Genomic DNA, 23,273 nt, shown 5'->3' on the forward strand with positions numbered 1-23,273 from the left:
GCCTAGAATGCATAAAATGAATTTAAATGGAGAAGTATTAGAAAACAGGTCACACAGATCTATGGAAGAGATTATCTTAATCTGAACCCATATAGTGAGAGAGTTAAACTCAAGGCTTTTCACAGCCCGGCTTTGATCAGCCTATAGAATTTTGTCTCAGAATACAATACTTTTAGGCTTATCAGGTTTCAGCACACTGGACACTAACCATCACTGAATATATGCCCCATCCTGCCCAAACTGTTTTTTCAAGGCCTAGCTCAAAAACTTTTGGGAAATAATTTTCCAATTTCCCTCAGCCAAAATGAACTGTTCTACAGCATTTTATTTGTAATTTACTGATGCCATTTAATCATTCTCCTGCCAAGCTGTAAACTCTTTGCAGTAAAGGATTATGCATTATTCACTCTGGTTTTCCTCAAACTTGGCACACTTCCTGACATATATGAAGCATCTTATTTAATGTTGGGTTATATTGGCACAGTGGAAAGTGCACTGGCTTTTGGAATTAGACTTAAGGACTGAATCATTCACTAGCTACATTATTTTAAGCAAGTATTTAACTTTTCTTAAGTTTAATTACCTATAAAATTCCCTACTTCTTGCAAATTATTGTGAAACTTTGAGGTCAATTGTAAAAATCACCTATAAAAAGCACCTAGCAAAGTATATGGTACATGGTGGGTATTTAATAAATGGTAACTGTAATTAAGGCCCTAGGAATTTTTTTTTTTAGTCTCAAGTGAAACAGCAGATTTTTTGTACACAGCATAATCTTCAAAGCCTTTATTTCCTCTTCAGTTTTAACTATGGTCAATCATGACTATCCCTGGTTGAGAGCACGTACTCGACAAACATCTGTGACTGCCCACTACATGCTAAATGTTGGGAAAATTTAAAAAAATGTAAAGTTCTCAGTGACAGGGCCTCCTCTCCTTGTCTTTACTACCCAAGAAAGAAGAACATTGCTGAGTTTCTAGGCCTCATATAAGATACCACTCTGGTACTATATAATTTCATCCTTCCTATATTAATTCAGAAACATTTATTAACTACCGTGTGGCAGGCATTGCGCCAGAAACAAAAATGCAGATGCAACAGTCCCAATTCTGAAGGAGGTATTTCATTGTTTCACTCATGATAGTGTATCTTTGTTTTTACAATACAAGAAAGAGGAGCATTACTGAGTTTCTGTGGCATATATGCATTCTATTACACTGTATAATTTCATCCTTACCTATAGCCTTCTGTATATGAAACTGAGTAAAATCTGATAAAATGTCCCAGTCTTTAGTATTTCCTATGTTACTTTTTCGTTTGTGATCTTGTTTCACAGTAACTTGAAGATTTACCATCCAGGTGCCAACAATTCTGGTGAAGAAATAAAAGACATGTTGCTAGCTCATTAAAGTTTTCTGGACTTTCACCAACTAGTAAAATTAAAATTATATAGTAACTACTATTCTTATTGACAATCCTTTCTTATTTCAGAAATCTTTTAGCAGTCTAAAGTACCTATTCAGCCATCTTATTTGTTTTGGTAATATAGCTAATAGTTCTAAATCACCATTTGTCAAACCCATTAGAGGTGAACTGTAGTCGAAACTGCAAAACTCTGTAACTTAAATGTAATTTCATTGTAACTAATAGAACCTAAGTAGAATTATGTAGTAGTGAAAATATTTTAATTCTAGCAAAAAGCAATCAACCACTTCCTAAAACAATGTTTCTTTTTTTTCTCTTGGGTTTACTCTCCTCCTCCTTTATGATTTATTCTTACCACAGAACCATTAAGATGTTCTTTGTTTGGTTATACTTATAAAATGTAACCCTGACATCTCTTTTTCTATTATAGTACTTACTATTATGCTATTTTTCTGCTTCCAAAATAAGGGAGAATTTGAATCTATGACTGCATAAATTTAAAAACTACCTTCCACTGGTCACAGTTCAGTGAGGATCTGAAATCTAGGTAAGTAATATTTGTACACAGGCAGTGAAACTAGAGCAATTGCTGAGTTCAAAAGCTAATAGCTAAGCATTGTTTCACAGACTGCTCTCAGTTCTGAAACAGCAGATATGTATTATCCATACCACTTATTATTTATTTATTTATTTATTTAGAGACCGAGTCTCGTTCTGTCACCCAGGCTGGAGTGCAGTGGCGCCATCTTGGGTCGCTGAAACCTCCGCCTCCCGGGTTCAAGCGATTCTCCTGCCTCAGCCTCCCGAGTAGCTGGGATTAGAGGCATGTGCCATCATGCCAGGCTAATTTTTGTATTTTTAGTAGAGACGTGGTTTCACCATGTTGATCAGGCTGGTCTCGAACTCCTGACCTCGTGATCCACCCGCCTCAGCCTCCCAAAATGCTGGGGATTACAGGCCTGAGCCATGGCGCCAGGCCTAATTTTTGCTTAAAAAAAAAAAAAATCACATTTGTATTCAAGGTGAGAAAGCTTCAGAATTATTAAGGACAAGGATTCTGACAGAAAGTTAAGTTCAGACCTGGTTACAAATTCAGACACCTTAATAAAGTAGGAGATAGTCTTCAGTATCTGAACAATAAATAGCTTTAAATGCAGGGCTTTTTGAGTAGAGGAGTGATCACTTGAATCTGGAGAGAGGGCGAGAAATGGGGAGGGATTGCTAACGGGCATTGGGGTTCCTTTTGGAGTGGTGAAACTTCTTGGAATCAGAGGTGACAGCTGCACACGATTGTGAATGTACTAAGTGACAGTGGATTGTACACTTTTTAAAAAATGGTTAATTTTATATGTGAATTTAACCTCAATAATTACTTTTTTTAAAAAAGAAAAAAAATAGAGGCTTTTGTGGCAGGGATGGACTTTGCTTGGTGAAGGCCCCTACTGTAACGGTGCCCAGACATCCACAGCGAGGTCAGTGAGGAGCACTCCCACCTCACACAAAGCCATATGAAAACTTAACAGATTTCCCTCAGCTAAATCCCCGTTTTCAACAACCGCCAATTAGCCAACATTTAACAACATACTGAACTCATTTCTGTATGGGAAAACAGCGAAATATTCATGAAAACATTTAGAAAGCAGCATCACCGACCACCTAGAAATCCCCTGCGCGCAATAGAGAACACCAGGGTGGAAATGGTAGAAGCCATTTTTGGTTAAGGTTTTTGTCCTGGGTGGAGGGTATTCGTGAGGATTCAGTCAGCCTCAAACATTACATTTAAACATAGGTGCCTAGCTACGATGATACATTTGCCAGTAGGGCAGCGTTGCACGGTGAAAGGCAAAAACCCCTCTAAGCCTCCTCCTGTGGCGACAAAGCTCTCGGCCAACGCTCACCGCCATACACATCCGCGGGAACGCTTCCTCCACCAGCCGAAGGCGGGGCCTCTGAGGGCACTCCCGCCACACAGCGCGAATTGAGCCTCGGGGCTTCCTGGGAATTGTAGTTTTAGTCACGGACACATCTTTTTTATTCGGGCCAGTATGCAATGAATCAGAAAACTACAACTCCCAAAGTGCCCCGGGGCGGCGAGGGGCCGCAACGGTGACGACTGTGGCAGAGAAGGCCCGGAGGGGCTCTGCGTTCTGTAGTGGCGCTGCTTGGGCCCTTGGCGGATTGTAAGCTGCTGGTTTTGCGGCTGGGAAGAGCGGCGAGAGGGTTCGGCATTTTTCGTCGGGATCCCCGCAAGGATGAGTGCTGCCAGAGAGTCTCACCCGCATGGGGTGAAGCGTTCAGCCTCCCCAGACGACGATGTAAATAATAATGGCGGAGTGGCTGAGGGTTGAGGCCTACTAAAGCCTGGAGTAGGCCGGGAAGGGTGGTTGGAGGAGGACGCGCCTGAGGTGGCCTGCAGCGGGAGAGCCCAGGGAAGAAACCAGAAGAATGAGTGGGAAATGCCTCCCTTAATCTTTATGAGGGTCAGAAGGTTTGAAGAGGCCCACACGCTGAGAGCCGGAGACCTGCGTAGGAAGGGGGATTGAGGAAGGAAATTCTGAGAGGGTCGAGGAGTGAAAGAGCTTAGTCAAGGGATTTCGTACGTGCGTTTTGGGGGGCCGATGAGAGTGCTTTCTCGGGCCTTTGTACTCAGTATAGAGACGGCAAGACTCTCCCTGTTTTGGGTTCTAAATGTTCCCGTGACAATGTCGAAATGTTCGTGCACGTTTGTACAGATTTTTCCTGCCTGGATGATTTTTACAATGTGCTGTTGAGAGTTAACTTTAGCTGCACTAGTAAGGGTAAACCGAGAACAGTATTGAGCCGAAAATTGTGCCACGGGTGTAATTTGGTACTGGCTCTGGTGGTGAGGTCTAAGACGTTGAGACCTAGAAGCCCATTTTGATGTCGGATATTAATACCTCGTTCTTCTTACCTCGTCTCCCCATCAAATGCCGTTCCCTTCCTCAGCCCTCACCTCATAGGTTTTAATAGCAAACGGTTTATCCCTTAAAGTAACCCGTTAAATATTTACTGCACTGCCGGGTGTTGGGAATTCGGAGAGAAATATGATGCTTATTTTAGGCCTTTTTGTATATTTGTCCTAGCTCCTAGCCCAGTGTCATGGAAACGGTAGGTAACCAGTAAACGTAAAACTAGGTCCTTCATACAATGGATAAGTGTCTTGGCAACGTTGATGGGGAAAATTGTTGGAGAGAGCGCGGAGAGGTCATCTTTAAGGAAGATGAAGGGATATCTAGGTTTTTTTTCGGTTTTGTTTAAAGTACTGTCAATTTCTGAATACATAGAGCTTTAAATTTTTCGATAGTGCATTTCAACGCTCTTCATAAAATTTTAAAAGCCCACTGAATACTACTTTGTAGCAAATGAGATAATGTTAAGACCTACCCCTCTGATGGGAGGTGGGGCGAGGACCGGAATATTAAGGATCTTTAAAGGAATCGACTTCAGCTCTGCAGAAAGATTAGCAATCAGTAAAGATTTGGGGATGAATGGGCACCTAGAGAAGTTTATTCTTGCTCTCTGTTATTTCTGCTACTGGATTTTAGATCTTGTTAATATGGTAATTCAGGTTTTGTCAGGAATTGATCCACACTTTTGAGTAACCTGGCTGCCACTTAAAAAGCTGTTACATTGTTTTCCTCCTGATCTTTAAATGTGACTTGATTGCTAGGATATCAGACACCTGTTTGGAAATATCTTTTAGCGTGACAGAAAACTCCAGGTGATATGAAATTTAACAAAGTTAAAGGGATTAAGTCATTAAGTTTACAGCTTCGGAAGAGGTCGGTTTAAACTAGACGACCTTGAAGACCTTTCCCAATCATATAAGCGTATCTTTAAGTACCTGGGTTTTGTTTTTGTTTTGAGACAGGTGAGACAGGGTCTCTGTCGCCCAGGCTGGAGTGCAGTGGCACGATCGATCAGTGCTCCCTGCAGCCTCCACCTCCCTGGCTCAGGTGATCCTCCTGCTTCAACCCCCTCTTCCCCCACCACCACTACAGTAGCTCGGACTACAGGTGTGCACCATTACACCCGACTAATTTTTTGTATTTTTAGTAGAGACCAGATTTTGCCACATTGCCCAGGCTGGTCTCCAACTACTAGACCCAAGCGATCTGCCCACCTCGGCCTCCCAAAGTGCTGGAATTACAGGTGTGAGCCACCTCGCCCAGCCAGTACTTAAAAAAAAAATTTTTTTAACCATAAGTAATGCATTCATTAAAATACCTCCAAGCTGTTGCAGAAAAAAAAAAAAAAACTAGCAGGCCGGGCGCGGTGGCTCACTCCTGTAATCCCAACACTTTGGGAGGCCAAGGCAGGCGGATCACGAGGTCAGGAGATCCAAACCATCCTGGCTAACACAGTGAAACCCCGCCTCTACTAAAAAAATACAAAAAAATTAACCGGGCGTGGTAGCGGGCGCCTGTAGTCCCAGCTACTAGGGAGGCTGAGGCAGGAGAATGGCGTGAACCCGGGAGGCGGAGCTTGCAGTGAGCCAAGATGGCGCCACTGCACTCCAGCCTGGGCGACAGAGCGAGACTCTGTTTAAAAAAAAAAAAAAAAAAATCTAGTTATAATATATAGTTGGGAAACAGTTTCTAATGAGCATCCACGGTATGTGAGAGATCATTGAAGTTTTCTTATGCCCATTGACCTCACATCTAATTGAGGTAACAAAACATTTTTTTACTATTAAAAGTAGATACTAAATCACAATACAACTCTAGAAAAACGCTAACAATGTAGGAGTAAATTCTAAGAGTCACCAGGTTATGTATTGAGGAGGTAAATTGATTGCAGTTCTGTAGTAAAGGGTATTAAGGATGAAAACAACTTAAAAGTCGTTTCATTGGCTTGGAGTGGAGAAATGAAAGCTATCTTATAGGAAGTGGGAAGAGTGGGGAGGTAAATTTTAGTAACTGCTAAGGAACTCTCTTAAAATGTATAGTGCACCCACGTGCTTTTCAGAATGCAGCATTTGGGCAAGTACTCACTGTTGTACTTTAAGGCAGGGCTCTCCAACCCCTGGGCCACAGAACCAGGCTGCACAGCAGGACGTGAGCTGTGGGCCAGCCAGCAAAGCTTCATCTGTATTTACAGCCACTCCCCTTGGCTTGCATTACCACCTGAGCTCTGCCTCCTGTTGGCATTTGATTCTTATAAGAGCGTGAACCCTGGTGTGAACTGCACATGCGAGTGATCTAGGTTGCACACTCCTTATGAGAATCTAATGCCAGATGATCTGTCATTGTCTCCCATTACCCCCCAGATGGGACTGTCTAGTTTTAGGAAAACAAGCTCAAAGCTTCCATTGAGTCTACATTATGGTGAGTTGTATAATTATTTCATTATAGATTACAGTGTAGTAATAATAGAAATAAAGTGCCCAATAAATGTAATGCACTTGAATCATCCTGAAACCATCACATCCTCCCTCTCAGTGGAAAAATTGTCTTCCACGAAACTGGTCCCTGATGCCAGTCTGGTCCTGGAGTGCTGCTTTAAGGTCTTTGAAAAGAAGAACTGGCAGGACTTAATGTTATTTCCTTAAAACATTGGGATTAGAAGTTGTAGATGACAGTTATTTATATAAACACTGAAAATGTTTTTTAATAGAAGCAGAATCAAGAAAGTTGGTTTTTACACAATTTTTTAACTTCTATACATTTTTATAACTAGTTCATAGACCACTTTCATCTGTCTCATTTGATCATGGACAGTATGATGTGGAAAAAACACAGGATGGTCAGAGGATCAAAGGAAGTCACTTAGCCTCTCTGTGCCTCAGTGTCTTAAGACAGTCTTTTAAAAAGGCATCTCTTTATAGATAAGGAGTTAAAATTAAGTTAAATGTCAGATCCTGGCTTACAGAGCAAGTGATTTAGTGATTGTCAGAACTGAAGCTTCACCATTACTTTAACTATATTGAGCCAGAAATAGTTAAGAACTAAATGGCCCATAAAAATATATGAGGGGGGTCACATGGAAAAAAGTAGAGATTTGGAACTTAGGGAACCAAAATTATGAGAGCATATAAGCCCTTCCACTAATGAGAATTTAGAAGTGCAAATGGGTCCAGGTTGGTACAAATGCTTTAACTCTCATATGCCCAGGGGAAATAGTGGTTTTTTTAAATATTCTTTTAGTCTTTTACAAATAATTTTTAGAAATAATAATGGGAGATAGTGCAAAACAACTTTATTAGGAATTTTAATGTGAATTTAACAATAGCAAACCGAAATTTATATTCTTTGTTTTCCTGATTTTGATGTACATATAGTCATCCTTCAGTATGCTAAATGTGGGGGATTGGTTCCAGGACCCACCCACCTCTTTGGCAAATCTTGCATACTCAAGTTCTGCAGCCAGCCCTGTGGAACCTGAGAATAGGAAAAATCAGCCTTCCATATACTTGGGATGGATCTGCATTTGGTTGAAAAAAATCCACTTATAAGGGACCCTTGAAGTTCAAACCTGTCTCGGATTTGCATCATCAAAATACAATACTTGAGGAATTTTTGAAACCTATTGCTTACAATTTTGTAATTGTCATCCTTGCTCCATAATTGCAAAACATTTTTATTTTTAGATTATAAACTTAATTAGAATGATAAATTCGGTGAATATTTTTATTTCATTTTCCTTCCAGTCACCTTGTGTACACATCTGCCTTCACCCTTTGTCCATTTGCAACCAAATCAAGTAAATTTTGATGCATAAACATTGTAAAAGATGAGATAAAACACTCACACCTCCTTTTAGAAAATGGGATGATCCTGGCTCTTACTGTGAAATATTGCAAGATGAAGTCCTTCCTGCTGATGGCTCTCCCAGTGAGAGTACATTTCTTGTTTGTCTTTTTTTTCTTTTTCTTGTCAATTCTTGGGTGGGAGAAAAGCCTTCTAATATTTCCTCATCCAAAAACTCATAGTCTGAGATTTTTGCAGTTAATTTTATCATGATTAGTCTAGAATACGACTGCCTTTCATTTTGCATTCACCTTCTTCGTCTAATAATGATTAATGCCTTCTGTCAGTTTTTTCTCTTTGCCATTATGAATGGAAAATGAAAAATTGTGAATTCCCATCGGTGTTCAGTGAAAGCTAAAAGTAGACAACAGGTATGATGTCTTGAAAGATGATGATGAAATACTTTGGACAATACAATGAGAAAACTAATATCTTAAAAACTATTTAGTTATTTTTAGCATAGTTGAGAATAATGAATTATAAATAATGAATTATAAATAATGAACTATTAAAAACTATTAAAAAACAACAGTTTTTACATTTGTTTCAAAATGTAGGGAAAAAATACGCTCACTAGGATTCCATCATATTTCTTAGATTTATAAGAGTTCAGTGGACTCATTTGATAATTGCAAGATAGCATGAGTTTTAGTCTGTTCTTTTAAAAAATAAGTTTTCTCTTTGTTCTTTGGAAGACTTTTAAGAAAGAATAAAAGTAATGACATCTCAATCCTAACAAGTAACTAGAACTGCTAAAAAAAAAAAAAAAAAGGCAACTGAAAAGTTAAAATTTTCTCTCTTAAAAGTTAGCTCACTGATAAAGGCAGAATTTTTAACTTCAACTAACAACTGTGGCTGCCATCTAAGTTCAGAGTACTAGGTGCTCTAGGACCCTACCCTGCGAGGCAGTGGGTCTCAAAGTGTGGTCCCCAGATAAATAGCATCAGCAATCATTTAAGAATTTGTTGAAATTCAAATCCTAGAGCTCCACCCCAGACCCGCTGAATCTCTGGGGCTGTAGCCCTGCAGTCTGTTTTAACAAGCCCTCTAGGTGACGCTGATAGAGGCAAACTTTTGAGACTCAGCTCTGGCTGTAGGAGAACTAAAGGATTCTGCTGTGAGGTAATAGAAAAGGAGTAAATTTGAATGTGATGAATATGCTTAACTTCCTAAGCAAGAAAAATGAACGCTGTTTATAGTTACAACTGACAGGGGAAAAAAACTTGAGAGTTACAGGTAGACTTTAGATTTCGTAATACTTATTTTTATGCAAAAAAAATTTAATCAACCAATTTTTTTTCTAGCTGGGATCTAGCAATTGGGAGGCAGCAGACTTGGGTAATGAAGAGAGAAAACAAAAGTTCTTGAGACTTATGGGTGCAGGAAAGGTAAGCATCAGATGGTGTGCATTTTTACCTTTTCTGTGAAAATATTGCCATTTTTATGTATGCTAAGTAAGAAGGACTGAATATACTTGGATTCCATTTTCCTGTTCTGTGTGATTTCTTTTGGCTTTGGGAAATACATGTGGCCTAACCAAGCACATAAAATTTATATTATTTTTGAGCCACTTCTAGGATTCTCTGTCCGTATAGTTTGAAGACTGTACAGAGAAAAATTTGGTTCAAGGAGGCTGTATAGGAGAAAAGAGATGTCAAAGTTTATGATTTGCCATATGTTGGCCCAGTGGTTTGATAGAATATATTTCTTCTGGGTAGGTTATCTTGTGGGAACCTCTGGCCAAAGTGAAAAGGCTGTCATATTTTATAGCTCCCTCCAGCCCTTGAAGTAGTAACCAGAGGAATATCCTTTATCAAAAACTTAATTTTAAGACTACACTTTCAGAGATTATTTCTATAGTTTGTTACTAGATAGAGAAGTTTCTCTGAATGTGTAGAACACCAGGGGGAAAGAAAACCTTAATTTTAAAAATGTTCAAGATACTTTGAAATGCCTGTCAGTTTGGTTAACGTTAATAGAAGGTACAGTTGACCCTTGAGCAATGTGGGGGTTAGGGGTGCTGGTTCTGCAGGCAGTCAGAAGTTTGCATATAACTTTTGACTCCCCAACAACTTAACTACTAATAGCCTACTGTTGACTGGAAGTCTTACTGATAACATAATTATCAGTTAACACATATTTTGGGTGTTAAATGTATTATATCCTGTATTCTTACAATAAAGAAAAGGAAATGTTATCAAGAAAATTATAAGGAAGAGAAAATAATTGACTCTTCATTAATTGGAAGTGGATTATCATAAAGGTCTTCATCTTCATAGTTTTCATGTTGAGTGGGCTGAAAAGGAGGGATTGTCTTACTGTCTGGGAGTGGCAGAGGCAGAAGTATATTCAAGTATAAGTGGATCCACACAGTTTAATCCTGTGTTCAGGGTCAACTATATAAAACAAGTGCCAGGAAAATATCTATTGTAAAAACCTTTCTTTATCCTAGCAGTTTATACAGGGATCTCTAGATACTTAGTTTTTGTAAGCAAGTAAATTTATTTTCCTAACATTGTCCTAACAGACTTCCTACAAACTAAATTGAAAAGAAATAGGAAAGCTTTTTTTCTCTTTTTTTAAGCACATTAAAATGAAATTCTGCTCTTTGTTTTGTTATGCACATGGGAATACATTCATTCATTTTCCCAACAATTACAGACTACCTACTACTGTGCTGGATCCTGGGTGGTCATATAGATCAATAATACATGTTTGAAGCTATTATGTAATGGAGGAAACCAGATAATAGCAATACAGAATTGTAATTGCTGTGAGAAAGCCATGCACATAGTGCTGTGGAATCACAGAGGGCAGCTAACTCTGGTTTAGCAGTGCAAGAAAGCTTCCCCAAAATAGAATTGATCTGAATCTCAAAGGATGAGAAGGAGTTAGCCAGACTACAACAGTAGGTTTGGGGATAGGAAGAGGTCATGTAAAACACTGAGACCTATTTAAATAAAGCATTTGTATAATATCTCATTAATCGAGATTTCCCAATTTGTAATTTGTCATAGAAAATAGTCTGCAATTTCTCTTGTTTCATGCAAATATATTAAGTCCTCACTTAACATCCCTTGTGGTTCTTGGAAACTAACCTTTGGCAAACTGACAATAAAGTTGTTTCACTGTAACACTGATAAGGAGGAAAATTGTTTTCATTATAGGTTGTTTCAACTAAAATCAGTTAAAATCGAAGTTTCCAAGAACCTATCATTGAAAATTAAGTGAGGACTTAAAAGATTTGTTAAGGATATGTAAGGTAAGTGTTAGTTTAGGGGCCATATTCAACTTAGTAGAATGAAACTTATTCAAGTACTTAGGAAGAACATCCTAATATAAAATATATGGAAGTTGACTAACTAGTAAATAGGTTGTTCAGCATAGATTAAATTCTCTTTTTTTTGTTGTTGTTGTTTTGAGACAGTCTCACTGCAACCTCTGCCTCCCGGGTTCAAGCAGTTCTCTGCCTCAGCCTCCCAAGTAGCTGGGATTACAGGCACCTGCCACCATGACTGGCTAATTTTTGTATTTTTAGTAGAGTCAGGGCTTCACCGTTTGAACTCCTGACCTCGTGATCCACCCTCCTTTGCCTCCCAAAGTGCTGGGATTACAGGCATGAGCCACTGCGCCTGGCCCATAGATTAAATTCTTTGTGAGGCCAAGATTGTAGCTTTGATCTTCATATGGGGTGTTTAGAGGTATTCCATTTTGTGGCCACAAAGTATATTTGTAATCCTAGCCGGCTATCATGAATATTTTATTGGTCACAGGAAGAACCAGCTAAGAACATATGAATAGATCAGTGCAATACTGTCATCATCCTGGAATAACTTGATGCTGTTATATTAAAATCTTGTTAATGGCTGTCAGTTTTGCAACCTAAACTAGTAACACACTGAATTATTGATTTGCTTATGTGTTAATGGCACATAAAGCAATGAGCATTAACACTTGAAGTTTTTCGGTAGTATCATTTTTGTGTATGGAGACTGTATCTGCCATTTTTTCACAATAGGAAGGTTTGTTACTGTATCTTCACAGATGATTGGTTAAGATTGCTTTCCAAAGTCACATTTATTCTCACCTTCACATGGTGTTTTAATGAGCACTTATGAAACTAAATATGAACCATAAAGAGTGGATTGGACTGATTAAATTGAGAGTAATTATGCAGTTTAATCAGTTGGTAATATTGAATCATATGTATTTTTATGTTTAGAGTACAGGATTGTTTTAAATTGTTCTTTTTGACAAGTTGAGATTAGTAGTTTATTGTCAAATAGTAAAGAGATAGCTAATGATTGTGATATACTGTAATAAGATCTATCACTTTATATGATACATTATAAGTTTCAATTATTTCATTTTTGTCAGGCTAAATCTCATTTGCTTTCTCTCCATGAGATATACTTGAGGCAGCAGAAAGAGCAGGTGGGAAGTTAAAGCAACTCATTTAACTGGCCTTTAGGAAAGAAAATGTTTAGATTGACTCAATTTTCTAGTTATCTATTCATCTTATTTAAAATTCCAACCTGCTCTACTCCTTACTCAGGTCTGTTTTGTTTTAATCACACTTAGTACTTTCTAACATAGTATAAATAGTGATTACGTTTGCCTGTCTCCCTTCCCCATTCCTACCCTTGCTAGAATGTAAGGTCCTTAAAGGCAGAGATTCTAATTTAATCTTTTGTCTTCACTGTGTCCCAGAAGCCTAGAATAGTTTTCAGCACATAGTAGATACCCAATAAGGTTAAATTAGTGGTCTCAAATGCTAATACATTTTCAACCTTCTTATAGAAAGAACATACTGGTCGTCTTGTTATAGGAGATCACAAATCAACATCTCACTTCCGAACCGGTAAGAAAGTAAAGTGTAATTAAAATGGAAGTGCTAAATTCAGAATATGAAGTATGTGTTCATGTTTCAGGATATTCTACTTTGGCATGTAATTGTGTAAATTATTAAAATATTATAATTAGAGCTGGGTGCAGTGGCTTAATGCCTGTAATCCCGGTTATTTGGGAGGTTAAAGTGGGAGGATCACTTAAGCCCAGGAGTTTGAGGCTGCAATGAAGCTATGATTGCACCACTGCATTCCAGCCTGGGCTACAGAGCAAGACCTCATCTCTTAAATTTAAAAAAAAAAAGGAGAGAAAAAAATGCTGGGCACCTTGGCTTATGCTTGTAATCCCAGCATTTTGGGAGGCTGAGGTGGGCCGATCACTTGAGGCAAATCACCAGCCTGGTCAACATGGCAAAACCGTGTCTCTACTAAAAAAAAAAAAAAAAAAAAAATTAGCCTGGTGTGGTGGCTCACACCTGTAATCCCAGCTGCTTGGGAGGCTGAGGCACGATAATTGCCTGAACCAGAGAGGCGGAGGTTGCAGTGAGCCAAGATAGCACCATTGCACTCCAGCCTGAGTGACAGAGTGCAACTCTGTCTCCAAAAAAAAAAATTAGAAATGTATAATAGGTAAACATGTTACATATATAAAGTATCAATTATCATGTACTTTGATTTTTAAAAGATGAGAGAGTATATGTCATTATGATATTCTAACCAAGAAACTAACCTTTTTCTGTCTCCATTTTTACTGATTCAGAACATATATTTTAATTGTAGTGAGGTTTTATGCCTCAACTTGTTAACTCTGGTATGTACAGAATTTTTGTTCTTTGTATATTAGCATATAATGTCATAGTTGGCATTTGGTTTTGTGTATTCACTAAATTTTGTTTTAAAATCTTTGAAGAATATAAACTAGTTGCAGGGCCTAAAGAAATAAGCTTTTAAAATAATTTTAGGGAAGAACATTTTTAAATAAAAACTGAAAATGAATTTGGGTATTTGGTGTGCTGAAAAGTGAAATTTTTGCCTATTTAAAACTGACCCTAATCTTGGACATTAGTAATAAAAGGCACATATTAATAAAAGACACATTGACCTAGATTATGTTTAACAAAACTTTAAGTTATTTAAATTATGCTAACACAGCATATGTAGCACATTTTAGAAATTCATAGATCTTTTATTTTTCTAGTGTTAAACAATTACTTCAAATTGATTTGTATTGCTACATAAGGCAAAAAACAATTCCTGAACTTTGCAGAATGGAAAAATATTTCAACTGCCACATTTACTCTTTTAAAACTGAGAGCTTTAAAGCAGGAGCTCCCAATCCCCGGTACCCATCCCTGGCCTGTTAGAAACTGGACCACATAGCAGGAGGTGAGTGGCACGCAAGCCAGAGAAGCTTTATCAGTATTTACAGCTGCTCCCAATGGCTTGTATGGCCACCTGAGCTCCGCATCCTATCAGATCATTGGCAGCATTAAATTCTCATAGGAGCATGAACCCTATTGTGAACTGTGCAAGCCAGGGATCTAGGTTGTGCCTCCTTATGAGAATCTAATGCCTGATGATCTGAATTGGAGCTGAGGTGGTAATGGGGAGTGGCTGCAAAAACAGATTAACATTAGCAGAGAGGCTTGACTGCACAGAGACCGTAATCAATCAACTGCTTGCAGACTCATATCAAAACCCTCTCAGTGAGTGGCAAGTAACAAGCTGCATCTAGTGGCAGGTTTTAAGTCAGAATCTGACATTTAATCTGCATGTGGCCTGCCCATTACTTATTTACCACTTCCATCCATGTCTCTTTCCTGCACTGTGCATTTGTCTCAGTCACAGTTTTGGTAAGCCCACAAGCTAACCCTAGCCAAAATGAGTAAAAAAACAAACGTCCTTGGAGAGCTTCTTTGAAAAGGGGGAAAGACCCAATGATGAGACAGCAGAAGACTCTAATACTGCCAACAAAGAGAAAGTGGCATTTAAAAGAAAATATCAAGAGTCCTACTTAAATTGTAGGTTCATTGCAATAGGTGATTCACATTCTCCAAACCTGCTTTGTCTAATATGTGATGACCAGCTATCCAGAAAAGCCATGAAACCTTTAAAAGTGCTTCACCACATGGAGACCAAACACCCTGCATTAAAAGACAAGCCTTTGGAGTTTTTCAAAAGAAAAAATCGTGAACGCAAAGAACAGAAGTAATTATTGAAGGCCACCACTTCATCAAATGTGTCTGCAGTGAGAGCATCATTCTTAGTGGCTAATCACATTGCTAAAGCTAAGAAGGCCTTTACTACTGGTGAAGAGTTGATCCTGCCTGCTGCTAAGGACATCTGTTGTGAACTCTTAGGAGAGCCTGCAGTTCAAAAGGTGGCACATGTTCCTCTTCTGGCTAGCACCATAGCTAGATGAATTAATAGAGGATATGAGGCACAGTTGTTAGAATTAATGAGTCACTGTGGTACCCAATCCAGGTTAATGAGTCTACCAGTGTTGACAGCAAGGCAACAATGCTTGTTTTTGTGTGATACATTTTTCAGGAGGATGTGCATGAGGATATATTATGTGCACTTTTGCTTTCAACCAACACCACAGCTGCAGAACTATTCAAGTCTTTAAATACATATCAGGAAAACTGAATTGGTCATTTTGTATCGATATATGCAGGGATGGAGCAGCTGCCATGACTGGACGGCTTTCTGTTTTCACTACTCAGGTCAAAGAGCTTGCTTCTGAATGTGAGTCTGTGTACTGTGTCATCTGTAGAGATGCTGGCTAGTTGGAAAATGCCACCTGAACTTACCATTTTGTAGGATGTGCTTAAAATTTTCAACCACATTAAAGTACATGCCCTTAATTCACATCTGTTCATGTAGCTCTGTGAGAAGATAGACACAGAGCACACGTCTTCTCTTATACACAGAAGAGAGACGGCTTCCTAAAGGTAGATCACTGGCCACTGTTTTTCAGTTACAATAGCTGCTCCAGAGATTTCATTTTAGAAAAAGTCACCACTGGCAGCACATTTCGTTGACACAGAATTGGGTCACAAAATTGCTTACTTGGCCAGGCATGGTGGGTCACGCCTGTAATTACAGCACTTTTGGGAGGCCAAGGCAGGCAGATCACTCAAGGCCAGGAGTTTGAGACCAGTCTGGCCAAAGGGGAGAAACCTCGTCTTTACTAAAAAATACAAAAATTAGCTAGGCATGGTGGCACATGCCTATAATCCCGGCTACTCGGGAGGCTGAGGCACGAGAATCACTTGAGCCTGGAAGGCAGAGGTTGCAATGAGCCGAGATCATGCCACTGCACTCCAGCCTGGGCAAGAGAGCGAGACTCCCTCGAAAAAAAAAAAAAAACTTGCTTACTTGTGTGACATATTCAATCTGTCACCTCAGGGGAGAACAAAACTGTGTTCAAGTTGGCAGATAGAGTGGCTGCATTCAAAGCCAGACTAGTATTATGGGGGCCACAAGTGAACATTGGGATTTTTTGACATGTTTCAAACATTAGCAGAGATTTTAAAAGAGACTGAGCCAGGACCTTTTTTCTCCCAGCTGGCACATGATCACCTATCTCAGCCTTCAAAGAGTTTGAGTATTATTTTCCAGCCACGAAAGAGCCCCGAACTGGGAAGGAATGGATTCACAACCCATTTGTGAATAAGCCAGGTGAATCGACTTTGTTCATGCTAGAAGAGGATCAGCTGCTTAAGATCACAAATGATGTTGCCCTTAAAAGTATGTTTGAGACAACTTCACATCTCCATACATTCTGGATTAAAGACAAAGTGGAACATCCTGAGATTGCCACGAAAGCACTGGAAAGCCTGCTTCCATTTCCAACCTCCTGTCTTTGTGAAACAGGGTTTTCTGTAGTGACAGCAGCCAAACAAGATTACAGAGTAGACTGGACATAAGCAACACACTTAGGGTGTCACTGTCTCCCATCACCCCTAGATGGGACCGTCTAGTTGCAGGGAAAACAAGCTCAGGGCTCCCACTGCTTCTACATTATGGTGAGTTGTACAATTATTTCATTATATATTACGATGTGATAATAATAAAGTACACAATAAATGTAATACACTTGAATCATCTCAAAACCACCACCACCCCCCTCCATGGAAAAATTGTTTTCCACAAAACCGGTGCCTGGTGCCAAAAAGGTTGGAAACTGCTGCTTTAAACTTTTAAGTTGCTCTGATAAACTTGATAAGCAAAGAAAGGCATAAAGAAGAGTCAGTACATGACCATTTTATTTAGCCATTTGCTGAACAGAAGTGCCTAGCTTTTTTCACTGTTTTTGTTCAAAGATAGATAATTCTGTTTGTTAGAGAGTTTTTATTAGGTGACTAGAAAAAAATCTTTCAGGATAACATCTACTTATTATAAGTAAGCTAAAACATTTAATACCCAAAGTGCTTAGTAATAAATATTTATGCTATCTCAACATCAGGCATTTTATTTTCTATTAGGTAACCACCTATGGCATAAATTCTCAAAAGTCATAGTAAAATTAGTCACAATTAGATAAATCAGCCCTGAGTATAATAGCATCTGTATTATGGGTTTTTGTGTAAATTATTAATTTGACTGAAACATAACTAAAGTATCCTGGACATGCAGGGGAAGAAGACAAGAAAATTAATGAAGAACTGGAGTCTCAATATCAGCAAAGTATGGACAGTAAATTATCAGGAAGATATCGGCGACATTGTGGACTTGGCTTCAGTGAGGTAGTAATTAACTTATTTTCATTGGGAAGATAATTAGTTTTCAATTTGGTACCATTTATTGCTGTTAGATTACCCTAGCAATCAAGAATCCCATGTAGAAAGCTTTCTGTATGTAGTTATCTTAAAAATAATTTTGTATATGCCCTACTGGTCTTGTAGATAATCAGGAGAGATGTTTCTAAGGATTTTGTGTGGGGTTGTTTTTTCCTTTTTTTTTGAGATGCAGTCTCACTGTCACCAGGCTGGAGTGCAGTGGTGTGATGTCTTCCACCTCGCGGGTTCAAGTGATTCTTCTGCCTCAGCCTCCTGAGTAGCTGGGATTACAGGCGCCTGCCATCACGCCCAGCCAATTTTTGTAGAGATGGGGTTTCACCATGTAACCAGGCTGGCCTCAAACTCCTGACCTCAGGTGATCCCACCCACCTTGGGCTCCCAAAGTGCTGGTATTACAGGTGTGAGCCACCATACCCGGCCTTTTATTTTTCTTTTGGAGACAGTCTCTCTCTGTTGCCCCAGGCTGGGGTGCAGTGGCTCCATCTCAGCTCACTGCAACTTCCACCTCCCGGGTTCAAGCAATTCTGCCTCAGCCTCCCGAGTAGCTGGGATTACAGGTGCATGCCGCCACACCAGGCTAATTTTTTGTATTTCAGGAGAGATAGGGTTTCACCATGTTGCCCAGGCTGGCCTTGAACTACTGAGCTCAGGCAATCCGCCCACCTCAGCCTCCCAAAGTGCTAGGATTACAGGCTTGAACCACCATGTCCAGCCTCACCTGGCCTGTTTCTAAGGATTTTAAAGTGTGTTTTCTGAAAGTGAAAATTCTGCTTAATCATTAGAGTACCTTTCTTTCCCCCTTTTTTGAGACAGGTTCTCACTCTGTCACCCAGGCTGGAGTATAGTGGCACAGTCTCACTGCCACCTTAGCCTCCTGAGGACCTGGGATATAGGCCTGCACCACCATGCCTAGCTAATTTTTGTATTTTTTGTAGAGACGGAGTTTTGCTATGTTGCCCAGGCTGGTCTCAAAACTCCTGGGTTCAAGCGATCTTTCCGCCTTCCAAAGTGCTGGAACTACAGGTGTGAGCCACCATGTCCGGCCAGGGCACATTTTTAATAGGCGTGAACAACAACATGCTCACAAGTTAAGTAAAATATTTCATTTAGGTTTAAAATAATGGTTTAGGAGAGCTTTTTTATTTTTTTTTCAGTTGTTTCCTAAGTGATCTCTTTTTATATTATGAATTTATGTGTGACTACTGTTTACTCCAAAGTAATACAATGTGCAAAACATTGATAACTGATTTCTACATAAAGGTCAGTGGTTAACATGCCTTATTAATTTAAAAAATTGTTTCTTTCAGGAAAATATAATACCATGGTTTTCAAACTAGGGGAGGGGAGATAGGTGTGTGATCTTCAGAGCACCTCCCCTCTTGTTTTCTTTTGTCTTTTAAGAAATGGAGTCTTGCTCTGTCACACAGGCTGGAATGTAGTGGCATGATCATAGCTCGCTACAGCCTTGAACTCCTAGGCTCAAGCAATCCTCCCACCTCAGCCTCCCGAGTAGCTAGAACTACAGGCATGCACCACCATGCCTGGCTAATTTTTTTCTTTTTTCTTTTTTTTTTTTTAGTTTCTCTCTCTCTCTCTCCCTTTTTTTTTTTTTTTTTTTTTTTTTTTTTTTTTTTTTTAAGAGACAGGGTCTCACTATGTTGCCCAGGCTGGTCTCAAACTTTGGGCCTCAAGCAATCCCCCTGCCTCTCAGCCTCTTGAGTAGCTGGAATCCCAGCCACAGGTATGAGCCACTGGGCCCAGCCAGACAGAGCTCTTTCTTAAAATTCTACTCAAGTCTTAAAGCTGTTGTTCTAATGGCTACAAAGTAGAGTGTTTCTAAGACCGACAGAACTTACGGTCTTTCTCAGATTTTGTATGGGCTAATGTTTATTTTTAAAAGAGCCTGTTGATTGATGTTTTAGGTAGAAGACCATGATGGAGAAGGTGATGTGGCTGGAGATGATGATGATGACGATGATGATTCACCTGATCCTGAAAGTCCAGATGATTCTGAAAGCGATTCAGAGTCAGAGAAAGAAGAATCTGCTGAAGAACTCCAAGCTGCTGAGCACCCTGATGAAGTGGAGGATCCCAAAAACAAAAAAGATGCAAAAAGCAATTATAAAATGATGTTTGTTAAATCCAGTGGTTCATAACTCCCAAACGCTTAGTCTTTGTATTAAAAGTAAGCCTTATTGTTACAATGCACAGTGGAGGACTGCTTATAGAGCACAGACCTTTGTATTATAATTTTTAAAAAGGCCCTTTTAAATAATTACAAAGAGTGTTTGCTTTCAAATGCCATGGGTTACACTTTTATGGGCATGACTATAACCATTTTTGTAAAGAGTAAGAGTTGTATAAAATAAGAAATAAATACAGTACTCAACTTCCTTTCATATTAGCATCATCAACCCTCTAATTCACCTTATGGGGGAAATGCTTCTTTTTGTTTGTGATAGCTATTTTATCATTTCCTTCATATTTTTCTCTTATAAAAATGTATTTGATACTGTGATATGTTCACGAAAAGTATTCTTTAATTATTCTTTGTTATAGTAGAGCTGTTCATTATGGATATTTCTGCTGCCAGTCACAATCTAAATTAATTTTGGCAAAAGATTGGGTACTTAGTTTCCTGTTACTGAGTTAGCTCTACTCTTTTGGACCAAAGCAACATGAGAGCAAGTACTTTTCACACTTGTTAAGATGGAGTTATAACTGTCATACATTTGGAATATTATGATCCCAAGTAGTCTTTTTATAATTTGGATTGTATCGTATGTTAGATTTTTGATAAAATTTGGCCAATTTTTACAGAAGAAATTCTCTGATCATTTAGTTCTGTCTATTTAGAAATATGTAAAACTGGATTTTTTTTTAAGTAATATGTGACCAAAGTTAATTTTGTCCCAAAGGTCTAAATAAAGAGCAGTTTCCCATATTTGGCTGTGATACCTTTATCCTCATTATCTACAAATGAGGAACAGGCTTACTGATAAGAAGCTGAAACAAGAAATTCTCTTCATTTTATCCCAGTGCTATTTTATTGATTAATTACTAAAAAGTATTACTTTCTAATTTTATTGCTGTTTCTGTTGGTGTGAGATTAGAATCATCTGACTGCTATTAGGTGGTTGATTTGTATAGCTGATTAACACAAATTGCATTATGAGCTAGTAAATGGATCTTTGGATAATGGGGTCCAAATTCTTAATGTTTATAAGTAACAAGTTCAAAGGCTTTAGTCACACCTGTTTGTGAGCTGAGCTATTATACATCTACATACTTAAAGGATGTATTTGGAGTGTTGGATTTTTTTTTTTTTTTTTTTTTTTTGAGACGGAGTCTCATTCTGTCGCCCAGGCTGGAGTGCAGTGGCGCGATCTCAGCTAACTGCAACCTCTGCCTCCCAGGTTCAAGCGATTCTCCTGCCTCAGCCTCCCAAGTAGTTGGGACTACAGTCATGTGCCACTACTCCTGGCTAATTTTTTGTATTTTTAGTAGAGTTGGGGTTTCACGGTGTTAGCCAGGATCGTCTCGATCTCCTGACCTCGTGATCCACCCACCTTGGCCTCCCAAAGTGCTGGGATTACAGGCGTGAGCCACCACGCCCAGCCTTGGAGTGTTGGAATTTTTAAAAATTATTCTTATGTCACTTTGAAATGTAGAACGTGTTGCCATGTGCGGTGGCTCACACCTATAATCCCAGCACTTTGGGAGGCCGAGGTGGCTGGATCACCTGAAGTCAGGAGTTTGAGACCAGCCTGACCAACATGGAGAAACCCCATCTCTACTAAAAATACAAAATTAGCTGGGCGTGGTGGTGCATGCCTGTAATCCCAGCTACTCAGGAGGCTGAGGCAGGAGAATCACTTGAACCCAGGAAGCGGAGGTTGCAGTGAGCCAAGATCACCCCATTGCACTCCAGCCTGGGCAACAAGAGCAAAACTCCATCTCAAAAAAAAAAAAAAAAAAAATTTAGAATGTGTTAGAGAAATTTAACAAGTAGAACAGGTGATTTCTGGTTGATAGACTCTATCTTGCAGTATATTTATTTCATGTATCAGACCCCAAAGTTGTTGCCTTGTTATTTTTTTAATTTCTCACATTTTTGAAAAATAGATGCTATCCTCTATAGTAAAATATTGAATCACTTTATAGTAGACAATACATATGACATTTAACAAATACTTGGTTTGAAAAAGTTTGGCTTTATTCAACAATTTTAGTTTGCCCACTGATTTTCAAATGTCTGTGGGATTGCTTATAACTAAGTAGAAAGTGAAGACTGATTTTTACTTAAGAATGGGATAGAGATGAGTTTTATGGTTTTTAAAAGTATTTTCAGTTCATTATTTAAATGTTGGGTTGTTGATATGGTCTTGTTTCTGATAAGGAAATAGGAGCAACTTGTTTTAAAATAACTACACTAAAAGACTTTCTTCATCTCCGTATAGAGAAATCCAGATTTCAATTAATTCATTTATTGGGTGCTAACAAAATTCAGGGTTAGAGTAAATTTAGGTCTGTTGGTCCATGTGGCCTGGTTTCCTAGCACCCATTAAACATAATGCTATCTTTTAAGCCTGAACATGTGGGTTTTTTAAATCAAATTGGAAAAAAATTAGACAACTGATGTCATGCTGTCTTGGTATCCATACTAAAAAAGTATCAGGAAAATAGATTATTTTTGTGCTGTGAAACACTATTCAGTGGAAAGTTTAGTGGCAACTTTTCCATATCATTCATGACTTAATACCTGAAATGCACTTTTAAATGTTTGCCTTATATCCAAGTGTTTACTTGTATCCATGACCTAACCGTCTATTGAAAAGAATGTTTGCAGATGCAGATTGCAATGTTGTTTGTATTCATAGGCAAAAGTCCTCTTCTCTAGTATAATTTTTTAAATCTGAGAGAATTGAAGGTACAGAAAAAAATTCTGGAGTGCCTGAACCACAGTTTGAGAGCACAAAGGTCACATTCTTTCAGTAAATTTGGGGGAAATAAATTTCAGCTACCTGGTTAGCTTCAGTGACTACTTACACACAGGGCTTTGGTTCCATTACTTGTTTCCACCACAGCCACATCCTAAATACTTGGAATATCCGAAAACAACTTCTAAAATCACTCAATAAAAGTATTCACTTCTAACCAACTCCTCCTCCTTTATACCTGCTCTGTGTTAGGGCGTAGTCTGTTTCCACCTCTGTAAGTCCTATCTAGGCTTCCTGATCTATCAATTCAGTATCATGATTGTTAACCCAAACGACTTCCTGGAAAATTCCCAGCCCTAGATGTATCCAAGCCCTCCTACCCTCACCAGTTATTTCTGGAGAAAGATCACCAAATGTATAAATCCGTATTAGTAAAAATTGGTTTTAACTGACCTCAGCACTGCCCATTACCCTTATTTTCTCTAG

At 38.9% G+C, this 23,273-nt stretch overlaps 2 protein-coding genes across 4 annotated transcripts in view, besides 1 other annotated feature; one reads left to right on the forward strand and one right to left on the reverse strand.

The window, feature by feature from the left end:
• The window catches only part of SOX6 (SRY-box transcription factor 6), a 772,029-nt gene extending 768,653 nt beyond the window's left edge, over positions 1-3,376 (reverse strand). The window contains exon 1 of the mRNA NM_001367872.1: positions 3,324-3,376. The gene's annotated coding sequence lies outside the window, so the exon portion shown is untranslated. The remainder of the gene's footprint in view (positions 1-3,323) is intronic.
• Positions 3,420-4,049: an enhancer, noted in NCBI's record as "active region_4480". NCBI's record gives its function as "activates an Ori minimal core promoter by ATAC-STARR-seq in GM12878 lymphoblastoid cells {active_cell/tissue: GM12878}" and the evidence as "EXISTENCE:reporter gene assay evidence [ECO:0000049][PMID:35858748]".
• C11orf58 (chromosome 11 open reading frame 58) lies at positions 3,546-23,239 on the forward strand. Of its 3 annotated transcripts, XM_047426310.1 has the most exons (6): positions 4,455-6,773; positions 8,483-8,566; positions 9,500-9,583; positions 12,996-13,056; positions 17,684-17,793; positions 19,770-23,239. In XM_047426310.1, the coding sequence occupies exons 3-6, from the start codon at positions 9,569-9,571 to the stop codon at positions 20,001-20,003; spliced, it is 420 nt and encodes a 139-aa protein (XP_047282266.1). In that variant the 5' UTR covers positions 4,455-6,773; positions 8,483-8,566; positions 9,500-9,568; the 3' UTR covers positions 20,004-23,239. The 3 variants fall into 3 exon arrangements, with proteins under 3 accessions (NP_055082.1, XP_047282266.1, XP_016872632.1); NM_014267.6 differs by lacking the exons at positions 4,455-6,773; positions 8,483-8,566 and adding an exon at positions 3,546-3,740; XM_017017143.3 differs by having other exon boundaries at positions 4,455-8,566.
• Positions 23,240-23,273: the final 34 nt, after the last annotated feature.

This window comes from Homo sapiens, chromosome 11 (assembly GCF_000001405.40).
Source record: "Homo sapiens chromosome 11, GRCh38.p14 Primary Assembly".
NCBI classification, from domain to species: domain Eukaryota; kingdom Metazoa; phylum Chordata; class Mammalia; order Primates; family Hominidae; genus Homo; species Homo sapiens.